General features: G+C 57.7%; 1 protein-coding gene across 5 annotated transcripts in view, besides 6 other annotated features; it reads left to right on the top strand.

Moving 5' to 3' along the window:
• Positions 1-14,688, top strand: part of SKI (SKI proto-oncogene) — an 81,895-nt gene that overhangs the window by 56,003 nt on the left and 11,204 nt on the right. The gene's annotated exons all lie outside the window — the stretch shown is intronic.
• Positions 201-869: an enhancer, noted in NCBI's record as "H3K4me1 hESC enhancer chr1:2215961-2216629 (GRCh37/hg19 assembly coordinates)". NCBI's record gives its function as "activates a minimal SCP1, AML or CMV promoter by ChIP-STARR-seq in naive H9 embryonic stem cells {active_cell/tissue: H9 hESC(naive)}" and the evidence as "EXISTENCE:reporter gene assay evidence [ECO:0000049][PMID:30033119]".
• Positions 7,142-7,191: an enhancer, noted in NCBI's record as "active region_52". NCBI's record gives its function as "activates an Ori minimal core promoter by ATAC-STARR-seq in GM12878 lymphoblastoid cells {active_cell/tissue: GM12878}" and the evidence as "EXISTENCE:reporter gene assay evidence [ECO:0000049][PMID:35858748]".
• Positions 8,563-9,473: an enhancer, noted in NCBI's record as "H3K4me1 hESC enhancer chr1:2224323-2225233 (GRCh37/hg19 assembly coordinates)". NCBI's record gives its function as "activates a minimal SCP1, AML or CMV promoter by ChIP-STARR-seq in primed H9 embryonic stem cells {active_cell/tissue: H9 hESC(primed)}" and the evidence as "EXISTENCE:reporter gene assay evidence [ECO:0000049][PMID:30033119]".
• Positions 9,714-10,214: an enhancer, noted in NCBI's record as "H3K4me1 hESC enhancer chr1:2225474-2225974 (GRCh37/hg19 assembly coordinates)". NCBI's record gives its function as "activates a minimal SCP1, AML or CMV promoter by ChIP-STARR-seq in primed H9 embryonic stem cells {active_cell/tissue: H9 hESC(primed)}" and the evidence as "EXISTENCE:reporter gene assay evidence [ECO:0000049][PMID:30033119]".
• Positions 13,575-14,086: an enhancer, noted in NCBI's record as "H3K4me1 hESC enhancer chr1:2229335-2229846 (GRCh37/hg19 assembly coordinates)". NCBI's record gives its function as "activates a minimal SCP1, AML or CMV promoter by ChIP-STARR-seq in primed H9 embryonic stem cells {active_cell/tissue: H9 hESC(primed)}" and the evidence as "EXISTENCE:reporter gene assay evidence [ECO:0000049][PMID:30033119]".
• Positions 14,087-14,598: an enhancer, noted in NCBI's record as "H3K4me1 hESC enhancer chr1:2229847-2230358 (GRCh37/hg19 assembly coordinates)". NCBI's record gives its function as "activates a minimal SCP1, AML or CMV promoter by ChIP-STARR-seq in naive and primed H9 embryonic stem cells {active_cell/tissue: H9 hESC(naive and primed)}" and the evidence as "EXISTENCE:reporter gene assay evidence [ECO:0000049][PMID:30033119]".

Here is a 14,688-nt window from a genome sequence, read left to right on the forward strand (position 1 = left end):
CCCGAGGCGGCCTGAGAAGAGCCTCTTGGAGGTTCAGGTGACCTGGCCTGGGTCAGCACAGTAGAGGCGGAGCTGCCCTCAGACCTCTTTTGTAACAGTTATCTCATGGAAACCTAAAACCTAATTGGGCAACGGCAGCTCCGTGTGAAGTAGAGATTGTCTGGAAGAGATTTGTCCCTGTTCTGTGGAGCAGGGCAGATGCAGCTGAGGTGCCTGGGGGGGCAGGGACCCTTCCCCAGTGGGCTCACCCCAGTGGTGTGGGGGTGGTAGAATTCAAGCTCACACCGGCCCAGAGGGCCCGCTGTCCGTGTGGACCTCCTGTGACTGCATGGGCCTCTTGCGGCGGCTCCCTCCCGCCCCACACCGGCCTATGAGCCCTCCCTGGCCCCTGGGTGGCTGGGAGGGCTCCAGGCAGGGAAGAGTCAGGGAGGGGTGGATGGCCGGCGTGGCTGTAAGAATGACAGGTGGACACGGGGGCCCACCTTGGCCTGTGCTGGGGGCCCCGGTGGCTGGAGAGTGAGAGTGGGTGCTCTCACTGAGGGTCTGACCCTGCTCCGCAGTGCAGTGTGGAGGTGGTTTTGGTGCCACACACAGCACAGGTGCACCATGCGGGCCTTTCTGATGATCAGAATTCATAAGTGGTTTTATTTTGTAAATTAACAGGACAGAAAAGCCTTTTTGTTCTTGCTAAAGTTTTATGATTTCGTGTTTGGGCCACCAGGGTATCTGGAGGCTGGGGGCAGTCGTGGCCAGGGTCAGAGTCTGGGTTGGAGATAGGTGTCATGCGGCAGTTGGTGTGGCCGTGTGGACTTGTCCCCATCTGTCTAGTAAATTTCCATCTGCCCTGACGTCAGCTGCCTTTTTGACATGCATTTGGAAGGTGTTAACAAATGGACTTAGATTCTTCCAGGCCGGTCGCAGTGGCTCACACCTGGAATCCCAGCACTTTGGGAGGCCGAGGCGGCTGGATCACCTGAGGTCAGGAGTTCAAGACCAGCATGGCCAACATGGTGAAACCCAATCTCTACTGAAAATACAAAAAAATTAGCTGAGCGTGGTGGCGGGTGCCTGTAATCCCAGCTACTAGGGAGGCTGAGGCAGGAGAATTGCTTGAACCTGGGAGGCGGAGGTTGCAGTGAGCTGAGATCGTGCCACTGCACTCCAGCCTGGGTGACAAAAGCAAAAGTCTGTCTCAAAAACAAACAATAAACAAACAACTCTTCCTTTGAAAGTTTTGTTTTGTTGTTTTTGTTTTTTTTTTGAGACGGAATCTTGCTCTGTCACCCAGGCTGGAGTGCAGTGGCGTGATCTCAGCTCACTACAACCTCCGCCTCCCGGGTTCAGGCAGTTCTCTGCCTCAGCCTCCCTAGTAGCTGGGATTACAGGTGCCCGCCACCATGCCCAGCCAATTTTTGTATTTGTAGCAGAGATGGGGGTTTTTACCATGTTGGCCAGGATGGTCTCGAACACCTGACCTCACATGATCTGCTCATCTGGACCTCCTAAAGTGCTGGGATTACAGGCGTGAGCCACCGCACCAGCCAGAAGGTTTTTTTTTTTTTTTTTTTTTGAAACGGAGTCTCGCACTGTTGCCCAGGCTGGAGCACAGTGGCACGATCTCGGCTCACTGCAAGCTCTGCCTCCCCGGTTCACGCCATTCTCCTGCCTCAGCCTCCCGAGTAGCTGGGACTACAGGCACGCACTGCCACACCCGGCTAATTTTTGTATTTTTAGTAGAGATGGGGTTTCACCACATTGGCCAGGCTAGTCTTGAACTCCTGACCTCGTCGTCCACCCACCTTGGCCTCCCAAAGTGCTGGGATTACAGGCATGGGCCACCACGCCCAGCCTACTGTTCATCTTTACCTTGTGTAATGCCAGTTTAAGACGCAAATGCAGGTCGGGTGCAGTGGCTCACTCCTGTCATTCCAGTGCTTTGGAAGGACAAGGTGGGCAGATCACTTGAGCCCAGGAGACCAGCCTGGGCAACATGGAGAAACCCCATCTCTACAAAAATACAAAAATTAGCTGGGTGTGGTAGTGTGCCTGTAGGCCCAGCTACTCTAGAGGCTGAGAGGGGAGGATCACTTGAGCAGCCTGGGAGGCAGAGATTGCAGTGAACTATGATGATGCTACCGCACTCAGCCTGGGTGACAGAGTGAGACCTTGTCTCTTTAAAAAATCATAAAATGCAAATGTAAGAGTGTTTAACTTGTGGAATCATCAAAATTGCACAGTTCTTGATTTGAACCCCAAATATAATAATTAAAGTGCGTGTGCATTTTATTCTTACCACATCAGGGCAAACGCTGCCCAAAATGAACCTGGCTGTTGGAGTTCGCTTAACTCACCCATGTGGCCACGCAGCTCTCGCTCTGAGTGAGGACAGACTGCGTGTGGGGGCTGTGGGCGCCTGTCTCCCTCCCTCCCAAGGCTCCGGTCGTGGGCTAGTGGGAGAAAGTGACTGGGTGGGACCAACGCGACCTCCTCCACTGGACGCTCTTTACACGGGCTGGGAATGGCAGTGGGCTTGCATGTGGCGTGTGCCACCTCTGCTCATGCATGCTCTGTGGTCACGGAGAACTTTGCTTATAAAAGAACATCTTATCAAAGGTGAAACTGTTCAGAATGCCAATGATGGGGACAGAGCGTTAAGCCCAGGACATGGCTGCGTGCCCACAAAGCCAGCTCTGGATGGAAAAGTAACGAGTGGAGGGCGTTTTCTTCCCAGACCCGGTGGTCCAGCCGTGAGTGTCCAGCTGCAGGCCCCACAGCAGCCAGCTCTGGGCGAAAATCTAGAGGGCCCCTGCGCACCCTCCCGCCCGGGGTGCCCTGGCCCAGGGTGCACCTGTGCTCTGGACCCTGGGCCGTGCGGGGCTCCAGGGCGCCTGGAGACTGCCATTTTGTGTGGGAAGGTGGAGGCGACTTGGGAATGCGTTTCTTTAGATTTTAAAGATGAGAGAGTGTTGGCCTTGGACAGGAAAAATTCCAATTTGGTGAGAAATGGAAATATCCAATTTTTTTTTTTTTTTTGAGACTGAGTCTGGCTCTGTCGCCCAGGCTGGAGGGCAGTGGCGCGATCTCGGCTCACTGCAAGCTCCGCCTCCCGGGTTCACGCCATTCTCCTGCCTCAGCCTCCCGAGTAGCTGGGACTACAGGTGCCCGCCACCACGCCCAGCTAATTTTTTGTATTTTTAGTAGAGACGGGGTTTCACTGTGTTAGCCAGGATGGATAATGTCCAAATGTTTTATCCAAGTCCAAATAGCAGTGTTGGTGGTAGGTGTGCTCTGCCTGTGGGTGGGGGTGGTCTCTGTCTCAAGGTGGGCTACGAGGGTCTGCCGCAGGGGGGGTGTGGACGGGTCTTGCATGCGTCACCTTCCCTGTGTGGGGCGTGGGGGTGGTCTCCCCCTAGAAGGACAGGGCTTGTGGCAGCCGTGAGATGGATGGATTCCCAGGGATCTCCCCTCACCTTGGGGGATGAGCCCAGGCTCCTTTCTGGGGTCTCCAGTGTGTCCCCGATGGACCAGCTTCCTGCATGGCACCGCCCTCCGGCCCCACCCCGAGCCCTGAGCCCCGCCTTGAGCCCTGGGCGCTCCTGGCCCTGGCCTGGCACTCAAGGGCTGCTTTCAGGGCTGTTTCTCGTCTGTCTTTTTTCTTTTCTTTCTTTTTTTTTTTTCTTCCTTGAGACGGAGTTTCACTCTTGTTGCCCAGGCTGGACTGCAATGGCACGATCTCGGCTCACCCCAACCTCCACCTCCCGGGTTCAAGTGATTCTCCTGCCTCAGCCTCCCAAGTAGCTGGGATCACAGGCGTGTGCCACCACGCCTGGCTAATTTTTGTATTTAGTAGAGATGGGGTTTCTCCACATGGGCCAGGCTGGTCTCGAACTTCTGACCTCAGGTGATCCACCCGCCTCAGCCTCCCAAATAGCTGGGATTACAGGTGTGCACCACCATTCCCAGCTAATTTTTGTATTTTTAGTAGAGACAGGGTTTCTCCACATGGGCCAGGCTGGTCTCTAACTCCTAACCTCAGGTGATCTACCTGACTTGGTCTCCCAAAGTGCTGAGATTACAGGCATGAGCCACTGTGCCCAGCAGGGCTGTTTACTTAAAGGTACATGTTCCGATCCCTGAATTCGGTTTTATTTTGAGGTTAGGAGTGAGAACACGATTGGTTGTCGTCGTTTCCTGTGGGAGTGGCTCTTTTCAGAGGCAGACAGTTGTCTTTGCTCGTGCGTGCACATTTGTTTGCATGCGCGTGAGACCCCCAGGTGGTTTTGCTCTGGGAGTCGTGGGATGTGTTCTCTGCTCCCTTCCCTTGTCCTGAGTGGCCTTGGTTGGCCACAGAGTCAGCTGGCAGTGGCTGTCTGTGGGTCACCTCCACACATGGATGAAACTAGCCTGAGGTGGGCTGTTGTTGGCCTGCTGGCATTTTTGGGGTCATGGCAGTGCCCTCAGGCTGGTGATAGTGGGGGTGGGGACCTTGTCTCAGGTACCAAGTTCGTCTTCATCCTTTGATCCCCTCTTCCAAAAACTACCCCCTCCCCCCGCCACGTGTGTGAGGCCTGCAGTGGTGTGCACAGAAGCCACCCTTGGGCCTGCTGGGTGACAGGTCCCCTCCAGGTGACGGGAGCTGCCTCGCTCTTCCTGCAGGTCCCCGGTGCCGCCTGGTTTTCCCGAATCGCATGCACCTGTCACTGAGCTGTCAGTGTGGTCAGCTTGCTGCACCCACCCGGGAAGTGGAGCTGGGGGAAGGTCATGTTCTGCAGGAGACCTGGTGGCTCAGGCCCTCAGGACCCAGCTGCCCCTCCCCGAGGAGCAGTGGTTGGTGAGAAAGCACACAGAAGGCAGAGGCTAGAGATGCAGCTCCTCTGTTATGTTGAGCCTCTCTAGGCAGGGAGCTCAGAGACCCGGAGGTGGCCCTCCTGCCTCCTCTCTGTCAGGACTTGACACCTGTCTCAGTGGCCATGGCTGTTTGTCTTCATCCCTCTTCGGTGAGGGTGGCAGGCGGCCAGATGCCCATTACAGGCCACCTCTCCTGCCAGCCAGTCTTCGAGGGCTGGTCACCACGTGGCCACTTTGTGAGGCCCCTCCTCTAAGATCAAATGTGGCACTGCAGAGCTACACCAACCCCGAGCCCCGCGCAGGGCAGGGCAGGAGAACCAAGATCGTGGGGGTGGGGGGGTGCAGGGCAGGGCAGGAGAACCAAGATCGGGGTGGGGGTGCAGGGCAGGGCAGGAGAACCAAGATCGTGGGGGTGGGGGGGTGCAGGGCAGGGCAGGAGAACCAAGATCGTGGGGGTGGGGGTGCAGCACAGGTCGTGCTCCCGGGGCTGGCTGTAGCGGCTCTCCCCTCCCCCGAGCCCACCGTGTGCTTCTTGTCCAGCCTTTTGAGATGACCACAGCTCTCAGTTTGGCCCCACAGCAGCATCTGGGTTGACGTCCCTGATGAGGTTTGGAAACAGCAGAGAAGGGGTTGTCCTCTTCCACCAAGAGCCTGGCTGGCCTGGCCTCCCTCTGGGCAGCACCTGGCTGGGCTGACTGGGCAGAGGGAAGGGGTGGCCTGGCCAGGGTGAGCATGGGGTGCTTGCCACTCCACAGAGGGGGTGCAGGAGGCGCCTCCAGGCCACGTTGCTCCAGGACATGCCACCTCCACAGCCCCCTCCTTGGAGTCTTTCCTCAAGGTCTTAGGATGGCTGTTTGTGCCCTAGCACAGAGACCCTTGCCCTCTTGTGTGGCGCCGGGGGTCCCTGTTGGTCAGGGATGTTCCTAGAGTGGGGAGGGAGTCGGTAAGGCAAGGGTGATGTTGGTTGTAAGGGGTGGAGTCCTTGGTCTTAAGAGATCAGGCAGGGCAGCCCTGGGCTGCCCCCGGCAGAGCCTTTGCCCCAGGCAAGTCCCGGGGCTCCTGGGAAGAGGCTACTTCTCAGCCTCTTGAGAGGGCCTCCAGGGCACAGGCAGGGAGCAGCTGTGAGGGTGTGGCTGTGATGGGGACTCTTGACTGCAGTGTGGATGTGAGCTGATTGGGGGTAGGCCAGCCTTCTGTGCGGGACACTTGGGAACTGAGGGGACACAGCCGCCACCCTGCACTGCTCAGCCTGAGCACCTCTCTGGCTGTTTGGTGCTGCACGTGTTTCTGGGCATCTGAGATGAGGCCCCAGGGCCTTTGCTTCCAGACACCAGGGGAGAGAGACCAGCCCCAGAACAACAGTTGGCGGGTGGGCTGGGGTCGTCAGAGCTTCTGACCTCATCAGGGGCTCCCCCAGAGTTTTCTGTGCGCTGCCGTGTGTCTGGGCCAGCGCTGGGGGCAAGCGATGCCTTCTGTGGTTTGAGGTCTTGTAGGCAGGAGGAGGAGGAGGAAGAGGGCACCTGCTGAGATACTTCACTGGTCTGAGGGCCCCTTCTGCCCCAGCTAGCGCTTGGGTGAGGGTTGGGCTTGCGGAGCCGTCCTGTAAAGCCGGGGATGGCAGGACGCATTGTCACCCCCTCCTGCCGCTCTTACGAAACACTCTTAATTGAGTCCGATTCTTGGTGAATCAGCCTTCCAAGAACCGCGACCGCAGCATCCTGTGCCGCTTCTGTGTTCCGCATTTTTCTCTTTCTGCAGCGTTTCCTCTCATTCTGGATGGAAAGGCCTGTTTGTCTCCCTCAATCTTTGGCGAGGGTGGCAGGCAGCCAGGCGGCCATTACGGGCCGCGCCTCCCACCAGCCAGTCGCTGGCAGGAGCGTCCGGGGAGGGAGCAGACCCCGTTCACCCTCACCCCAGAACTGAAGCAGCGAGGGGACCCAGACGAGCTGCGAATGCAGGCGCTGGGGATGCTCATGCCAGCTTGCTGTTCTTGGGAGTCTGTTTATTCTTTTAAGCTATTTCAGCATTTACCTTCAGTAGCATCGGAGGAAAAGAACGATACATTCGCCCCAGTGTGTCCCCTGGGGGACCTCTGGCTAATTTTCGGATTCCGAAAGTGAGGTTTTGCAGGGCTGTGTGGCCACTCCTTTGTGGTCGGCCCCAGTGTCATCAGGCTGGTTTCAAATCTGGGGTCTGTGGTTCGAGGCTGAGTGCAGGGCTCAGGCTGGATGGGGAGGGTGAGAAGAGTGGGGCCAGACTTCCCGGGGTCAGCACACACATCTAGGGTCGTCATGGAGCCCATGGCAGCACTGCCTGGCCATTGGCCCCTGGTGGACGCCTCAGACCGAGGTCCCAGGAGAACCCCAGCAAGGTTGGGGCTGCAGAGGGAGCCCTCCCCGGGACAGCAGCTGGACCAGAACAGAAGCTGGGCCCTCCCCCACCCCCTCAGTCTCTGCAGCCCCCACCCTCCTTCCAGCACCTTCCCCCCTGGATGGATGGGTCTTTGTGTTTTGATGCCCCTTGGCTCTGGCATTGTGGGGGGGCCCCCTGGGGCATGAGGAAGAGGGCCAGTGCCAAGGCCCCGAGGGAGCGCTACTAATTGCTACTCAGTTTCCTTAGAAAGATTTGGCTTTTTGTCATCAACAGCGCTAAAGTAACAGCAAAGATGACCTACTTAAGCGAAAGAAAAATCCGAGTGAACCTTTAAAGCTGGTATTCTCACTTCATTTTGGGGCTTGGGGTTGTCTTGCAGATTCAATCTGTTTCCTCTGTGCCACAATAATCAGAAAATAGGTTAATTTAAGCCCAATATGAAAAGTGAATTATCATGTGTGAAATATTAATGGCACTTACAAAAATAGCTTTATAATTTCTTGAACCGTGAAATCTTCAGAGAAGGCCCATAGCTCACGTGAGCCGATTCTTGAGTGAGGGTATTTGGGGGTGCACCTGGAGGAGACAGCGATGGTCTCAGCAGGGTTTGTCTCTAGAGTGCCTCAGCGCGAGCTTCTGCCAGTCCCCGGAGAGGAGTCCCCACGCCTCCTTGCCCTGCTCAGGGCTGCACGGGAGTTGCCACGTAGGAGAGCACAGCCCACCTTGGGCTTTTGGGGTTCGGGCTTTTGGAGTTTGTCCAGGCTTTGGGGTGGGGCTTTGCCTGTAGAAGCTCTGAGCTGTGCTGCATGGTAGGGTGACCGCAGTGGGCTGCCCTGGGTGCCCCATGAAGGACTGAGCAGTGGGGTGACCCTTCATCTAGCAGACGTTCATCAGGGACCTGCTGTGGGCCAGGCTGGGGTCACACTCAGAACTGACTGCAGCCAGGTGGAGACCCCACCTCGAGAGCTCCTCCTTCCTAGCTGTGTAGCCCACACCCCCTGGGGAGCCGTAGCAGTGTGGGGGCAGCTCTGATGGAGGGGTGTGTACCTGGCCACAGCTGTCTCTGGGCTGTGGTCATCACCCACAGGTCCTTTTCAGATGCGGTGCCCACCTGGGTGTGTGGACATGACCCTTGCCTAAGGGAGGGAGAGAGGAAGGCCTGGTACCAGGCAGTGTCCTCTGCCTGTGCCCCTGCTGGGGAGGACGTGAGGGCCTGTGGCTTTTAGGAACCTTGAGGAGGTGGGGGTGGTCTTCTGACGCCGGCGGGGCTCCTGAAGGTGCAGGAAGGCACAGTTTGTGCAGAGTCCCCTTCGGAGGAAGCAACGCCTGTCCCTGGCGGGGCCGCTGAGCCAAAGGCCGTGTCTCAGTGGCACCCTCTCCCAGCCGAGGATGTCGGCACCATTTGGGCCCGTGGACTTCCTCCAGTCTCTGGGTGGTGGTGAGTGGGGCCTGCTGTTGTCTAGCAGCCACTGTTCTGTGGGGCTTCACTCCTGGGCAGGGTGCACGGGAGAGCAGGGGTTGGCAGGAACCCGGCAAATTTGTCAATAAACCTGAACCTGAAGTCCCACAAGGACGGAGGCTCAGTAGGGCTCGGGCCTGAGCGGGGCAGGCCAGTGTGAGCTGGGGGTTGGGGCAGGCCACTGTGCGGAGCGGGGTTCTGGCCACCACAGGGCTTTTGTTCTGTTGCTTTGGTTGGCGATCGGGACTCACCATGTTAGACCTGAGGTTCGTGGTGGGATCCACCGGCGTGGCCCTGGGTGGCTGCCCTGTGTGCTCAGGGAGCAGTCACGGGCCCTGAGTGGTGTTGCCCGTGGGCCTGGAAGGTCCAGCCGAGGGTTGGGGCCTGCGGATGTCGCTTCTCTGAAGATGAGAAGCCAGGGCGAGGCCCCCCCCCAACATCTGGAAGGTTCTCCTGCGTCGCCCTCTCCTTCCAGGCACATTTGGCCGTCCCCTTTTCTGCGTGTCTGTCCCCACCATCGTGCCCTCTTCTTCTCTGGACTGCGTTTGGATGATTTCTTTGAACGGTTTTTATTCTGGAAAGTTCTGCTCGAGCATCTGGTATCTCCCTGGTGTTTGGGATGTCTCCTTCTCATTCCCCCGTGTCTTGCTTTAAGCTGCGTGTCCTCGTGTTTCCGCTGCCCCTGTTCTTGGGCACTGCGTTGTGTTCTGTCTGGGATCCCCGTGCAAGGCCCCTGGGTCTGGTGGCTGCTGCCCGGCCTCTGGGACCGTCTACCTGTCCCAGCCCCCGTTTCCCCGCTTCTTCAGCTGGCACCTTGAAACTCCGTGCCAGGTGAGCAGGCCTGTGGCTGCAGGTTCCCGGAATCTGTCGTGGGTTCTGGGTTGTCCCTTCCAGTGCAGGCGGTGGTCACCGCGCCACCATGGGGGTCCAGGCAGCAGGATGGTCATGTGATGGGGGCCACTCTGGGCTTTTCATTCTCCTTTCATCTGTGGCCTCGGAGGCTCCCCATGTTTTCTGAGGTGCACAGAACATGGAGGGGTGCTCATCTCATGTCAGATATTGGAAGGATGTCGTGCAGGAAGGTTCGAGGGTCTCGGGGTGGTCCTGAGAAGCCGATGTGATAGGTGCGGCAGCTTCCTCTTCCCCTGAGCGGGGGCTTCCAGAGCCTCCCTCCCACTGGTGCCCATGGGGTTTGAGCCTGATAGCTCCGCAGGATTCAGCTGCTGTGAGTCACAGCCAGGATGGAGAGGTCTAAGGCAGGCCTGATGCCGGGCAGGGCGACATTTCTAGAAAAGGTTTCATCTGGTGATCTGCTAAATGGCATGAAAATCACAAAATTGGCACTCAGTGACCATCAGGCTGGCTGTGTGTGGCTGCTCTCCTCAACAAGCAAATGGCTGCCCCCATCCAGAGCCCCGACTCCCGCTGGCCTCCCCCGTGCGGGGATGTGGGGACCAGGGCAGGCCCCAGAGACCACCTGACCTCTCTGGCAGGAAGAAGACCACGTCGTGCCGTTTCCTCCTCCCTTGAGCCCGTTAGCTGTCTCGGGGAACCGGTAAGCCCAGGGCCACCTTGTCACGTCCTCCACTGAACGTGGGTCCACGTAGATGCCAGCCCCTTGGTCTTGCCCAGAAGTTGTGGGAGGTGCTGGTTGCCAGGGATGGCTATGCATGTTTGTCCCCATGGCAGGGAGGCCTCTGGGGGCCTGGCCCTCCCCCCGCTAGCTGCTTCTCACATTTTTGTCTCCCCGAGAGCCACCTGCTCTCCCAGGGCCCTCAGGCCCCCGTCTGCCAGTCTCCTGGCACCTGGGCTGGGGTCTGCGCCAGGCAACTCCCACAGCAGGGCAGGATCCACCCTCCACGTTATCATTACTGCCATCCCCTGTGCCTGGGTTGGAGGCCACGCCCACCCAGTGGGGCCCCTCTGGAAAGGAGACTTGACCTCAGGGTGGTGGCAGGGCTCTGTGGGATGCCCCTGGTGACAGGGACCAGAATGTTCCCTAAAGTGGATGTCAGGCCCCTGGCTCAGATGGAGCTTTCTGTTCTTGATGGGCTTTAGAAGGTGAAAAACTAGGCTTCCAGAGGTGAAGTTGCACTGTGGGCTTTGTGGCAGGTGAGCGCTGCCTGACCCTGAACAGCTGCTAAAGACTCAGACCTGGAGCCTTCCTGGTGTCCTGTGTGTCCACGCAGGTGTGCCAGTGTGGCAGCCCTGCGCCAGGAGCTGCCCCTGCATGTCATGGCAGCATCCATGCCAGCCGAGCGCCCCTCTGGCTCCCAGGCATCTCATCCTGTCTGGCTCTGAGGGCCGTGCTGCAGTGAAAACCATTCACCTTGACAGTTTGGCTTTCGACCAAGAATTCACTGTCATATTTTTGATTTTTAAAATTAAGACTGTATTCAGATATAATTTGCGTACCATAAAATTCTTCCTTCCACAGAATATGGTTTAATGGTTTTTCAGTATATGCAGCCATCATCATCTAAGTTGAGAACATTTTTGTCACCCCCAACAAGAAGCCCCATGCACATGGTCCGTCACTCCCCAGGCCCCAAATCCCAGCCAGCACTGATCTTGGCCATTGGCCTGTCCTGGTCATTCCATAGAAGTAGAGCCACGTGACTGTGTGTGTGTCTGGGCCACGCGTGGCTGTGTGTATGAGAGCCATGCGTGACTGTGTCCGGGTCACACGTGACTGTGTGTCCGGGCCACGTGTGGCTATGTGTCCAGGCCACGTGTGACTGTGTGTGTCCGGCCTCAGCACAGTATTTTCAAGGCTCCTTCCTTCCTTTTCATGACTGAATCATACTCCATTGTCTGCACAGACCACAATCTATCCCGTCATTTGTCTCTGGATGCTTGGGTGGCTGCACTTTGCTGCTGTGAGCACTTGTGCACAAGCTGTCGTGTGGATGTGTGTTTTCAGTAACCTGCGTGTACGCCGAGGACTGGAATTGCTGGGCGATGTAACTGTGTTAAGCTTCCGAGGACCTGCCAGACTGTTTTCCACAGCAGCTAAATAATTGTACGTTCCTCTTAGCAATGCATAGGGGTTCCTGTGTCTCCATGTCATCACCAACACTTGTCCAAACTAAAAAATTCTAGGCCAGGCGCTCATGCCTGTAGTCCCAGCAATTTGGGAGGCCAAGGTGGGCAGATTGCATGAGTTCAGGAGTTCAGGACCAGCCAGGGCAACAAAGTGAAACCTTGTCTCTAGGAAAAAAAACAAAAAAAAAAAAACAAAAAATTAGCTGGGCATGGTGGCACATGCTTGTAGTCCCAGCTACTCAGGAGGCTGAGGTAGGAGGATTGCTTGAGCCCTGGGTGGTTGAGGCTGCAGTGAGCTGAGATCGTGCCACTACACTCCAGCCTGGGTGACAGAGCAAGACTCCGTCTCAAAAACAAACAAACCCAGTTCTAGCCATCGTTGTGGGCGTGAGTTGACGTCTCCCTGCGGTGTGATTGCGTTTCCACAGTGAATGATGTCAGGCAGCTTTGCATGCGGTTACTGGATGTTAGTATCCTGTTTGGAGAAATGGCTACTCGAATTCTCTCCCATTTGGAAATTGGGTTGTGTTTTGTGTTTTCCTTGCTGACTTGCAGAGTTCTTCATGTGTTCTGAATCTGGTCCCTTACCAGCTACCGGGTTTGCACGTTTTCCCTTGCATCCTGTGGGCTGTCTTTTCCCTTTCTCGATGGTGTCCTTTGAAGCACAAAGACGTCGTGATTGTTTTCTGGGAAGCCTTGTTGTTGTGTTTTCTCTCTGTTCCTTGTGCTTTGGTGTCATGGAAGCACTTCTGCGGGGGCGGGAGTCTGGACTGAGGCCGCCACGTTCCTGCTGTGAAAACCTTCACGTGCGCTCGCAGCCTCGGCTCTACAGACGGTTCAGTCCGGGAAATGGTTTAAGGAGGCCGTGCACAGAAACAGTCTTTGCAGCCAGGGACATGAGAGCATACCGTGCTGTTCCCACAAGGCCCGTGGCCTCTGCAGGTGAGAATTGGTGGCCTCCCTTGAAAATACTGAATGGAGGTGCCAGGCACCCGCACAGGCTCTTGGTGTGGGCATAGGCCGTCTTCCACTTGAAGAATGTGGCAAGATGGTCTGAAAACCACAAAGTTTGTGTTTGGAGACACGGTCTCAGTGTGTTGCTCAGGCTGGAGTGTAGTGGTGGGATCATACCTCACTGCAGCCTCGACCTTTTGAGGTCCAGTGATCCTCCCACCTCAGCCTCCCAAGGAGCTGGCATTACAGGCATAAGCCACCACGCCGGGCCCACGGCTGAAGTTTGGGTTGTATCCTTTTAAGGAATAGCAGACGGGTTTTCAGCCACACCGAAGAGAACCTCAGCGTAGCAGAGTGTTGCTGGGCCATGTGCTTCAGGAGCAGGGCCACAGGCAGGACCTCGAGTGCCCAGCCCGCTCACCACGCTGTGGGCGGCCTCTTGGGAATGTCAGAACACCAGCACAGGCGATCTCCTCGGAACCCAGATTGTGGGCGATCCTGCCGCTCCACCTGCTGTGGCCCCAGGGTTGCACCACCATGTGGACTGTGGCTGGCAGCTTCTGGAGGCTTCTTGGTGCCTACAACATCTGCGCCACTCCACAGCGTTGCCTATTGGTGGCAGCCATCCCCTCCATAAGCCCGTGGCCCCTGTACAGAGACGAATTGGCGCTCACGGACTCACCCTGCGAGGCAGCATCTGCGTCTGCAGGACTTCCCGGCCCTTGGCCGCACATTTCCCTCCAGTTCCCATCATGGCAGCTGTGCCTGGTTGCGGATGCTGCATGCTGAGGAGAGGAGGCGTGGGCCCGCCCGGTGTGCATGGGCAGGTCTGAGACTGGCCACTCCCATGGCGCATGCATTCCCCTGGAGGGTCCCCTTGCCCCGTGGCTGCAGCCTGGCAGGAGAAGACGCTGAGGGGACGCACGGGAGGGGTTGCAGGGTGGGCTGTGCTGTGTGGCAGGCCTTGGGGTGTAGCCGCAAGCTGTGGGTCCATCCCCCCGCACCAGAGTGCAGTTTTGACACCGGGTGGTCATGGGCCGAGCATCCATGCAGGTGTGGAGACGGAAGCCTGACCCACAGAGCTTGGTGGTGGCCCCTGGACTGACCTGTGGGCTGCTCAACCGCTCTGCCACTGTGCGTTGTTCACATGTGAAGCCGGCGTCACAAAGGCCTCAATGTCTGTTTCAGCTGGATACATGCGCGCCCTCGTGGGGGCTTGAGGGCACACTGGCCGCTGGACACTGGGGTCCCGGGGTGACTGAGGCTGGTGCCCTCCTGACAGGTTGCTGGGCTGCAAGTTGAACAGAAAACTGGTTTTCTTCACTCTGCGAAGTTCCCTGTGGTTGTCCCTGGGGTTGGAGGGAGTTGTGTTGACATCATCATGGCTGCTGCTGTGCGCCTCTCCCTTGGAGCAGGTGTGGTCCCCGGCTCCTGGATTGGCTGCCCATGCTCAGGATGGTCTGGGGTGTGGCCGTGGCCTGTCCCCGGGCCGGATGGCTTTCTCAGCAGCTCCCTGAGGCAGCATGAGCAGAGGCGGGACCCTGCCCGGGTCCTGTTTCCCCCTTGTATCCTTTGGCCCTAATACGGGGTCCCGTTTACCAATGAGGGCAAAGAGACCAGTCTAAGGGGAGGCTGAAAACTCACAGGCAGGCCTGTCTGGCCTTGGGGTCTGGGTGCTGCTTCCAGGCAGACCACATCCCAGGTGAGGTGCAGACATTCAGAGACAGACGTGGCCGATCCTGGCTGCTGTATCAACGCGCCCACCAAATGGGGCCTTCTTTGATCATCAGTCAAAAGCAAGAATGTGCCTGTGGTGGGCGGGCGCGTGTGCCAGCTTCCAGGCCGTGGGCTCCTTGGTGCCCAGAGCTCACCCTGTGGTGCTTGCCCACTACTCACTCCCGCCTCCCCGGAGTCTTGCCCTGGGGGGTCCTGGTGTGGGAGCTGCCTTCTCTAGTTGGGTGGAGCCTTGCCTGCTGGTGCCTGTGAGCCCTGGGTGGGTGGATGCCGGG

Source organism: Homo sapiens, chromosome 1 (genome assembly GCF_000001405.40).
Source record: "Homo sapiens chromosome 1, GRCh38.p14 Primary Assembly".
Classification (NCBI taxonomy): domain Eukaryota; kingdom Metazoa; phylum Chordata; class Mammalia; order Primates; family Hominidae; genus Homo; species Homo sapiens.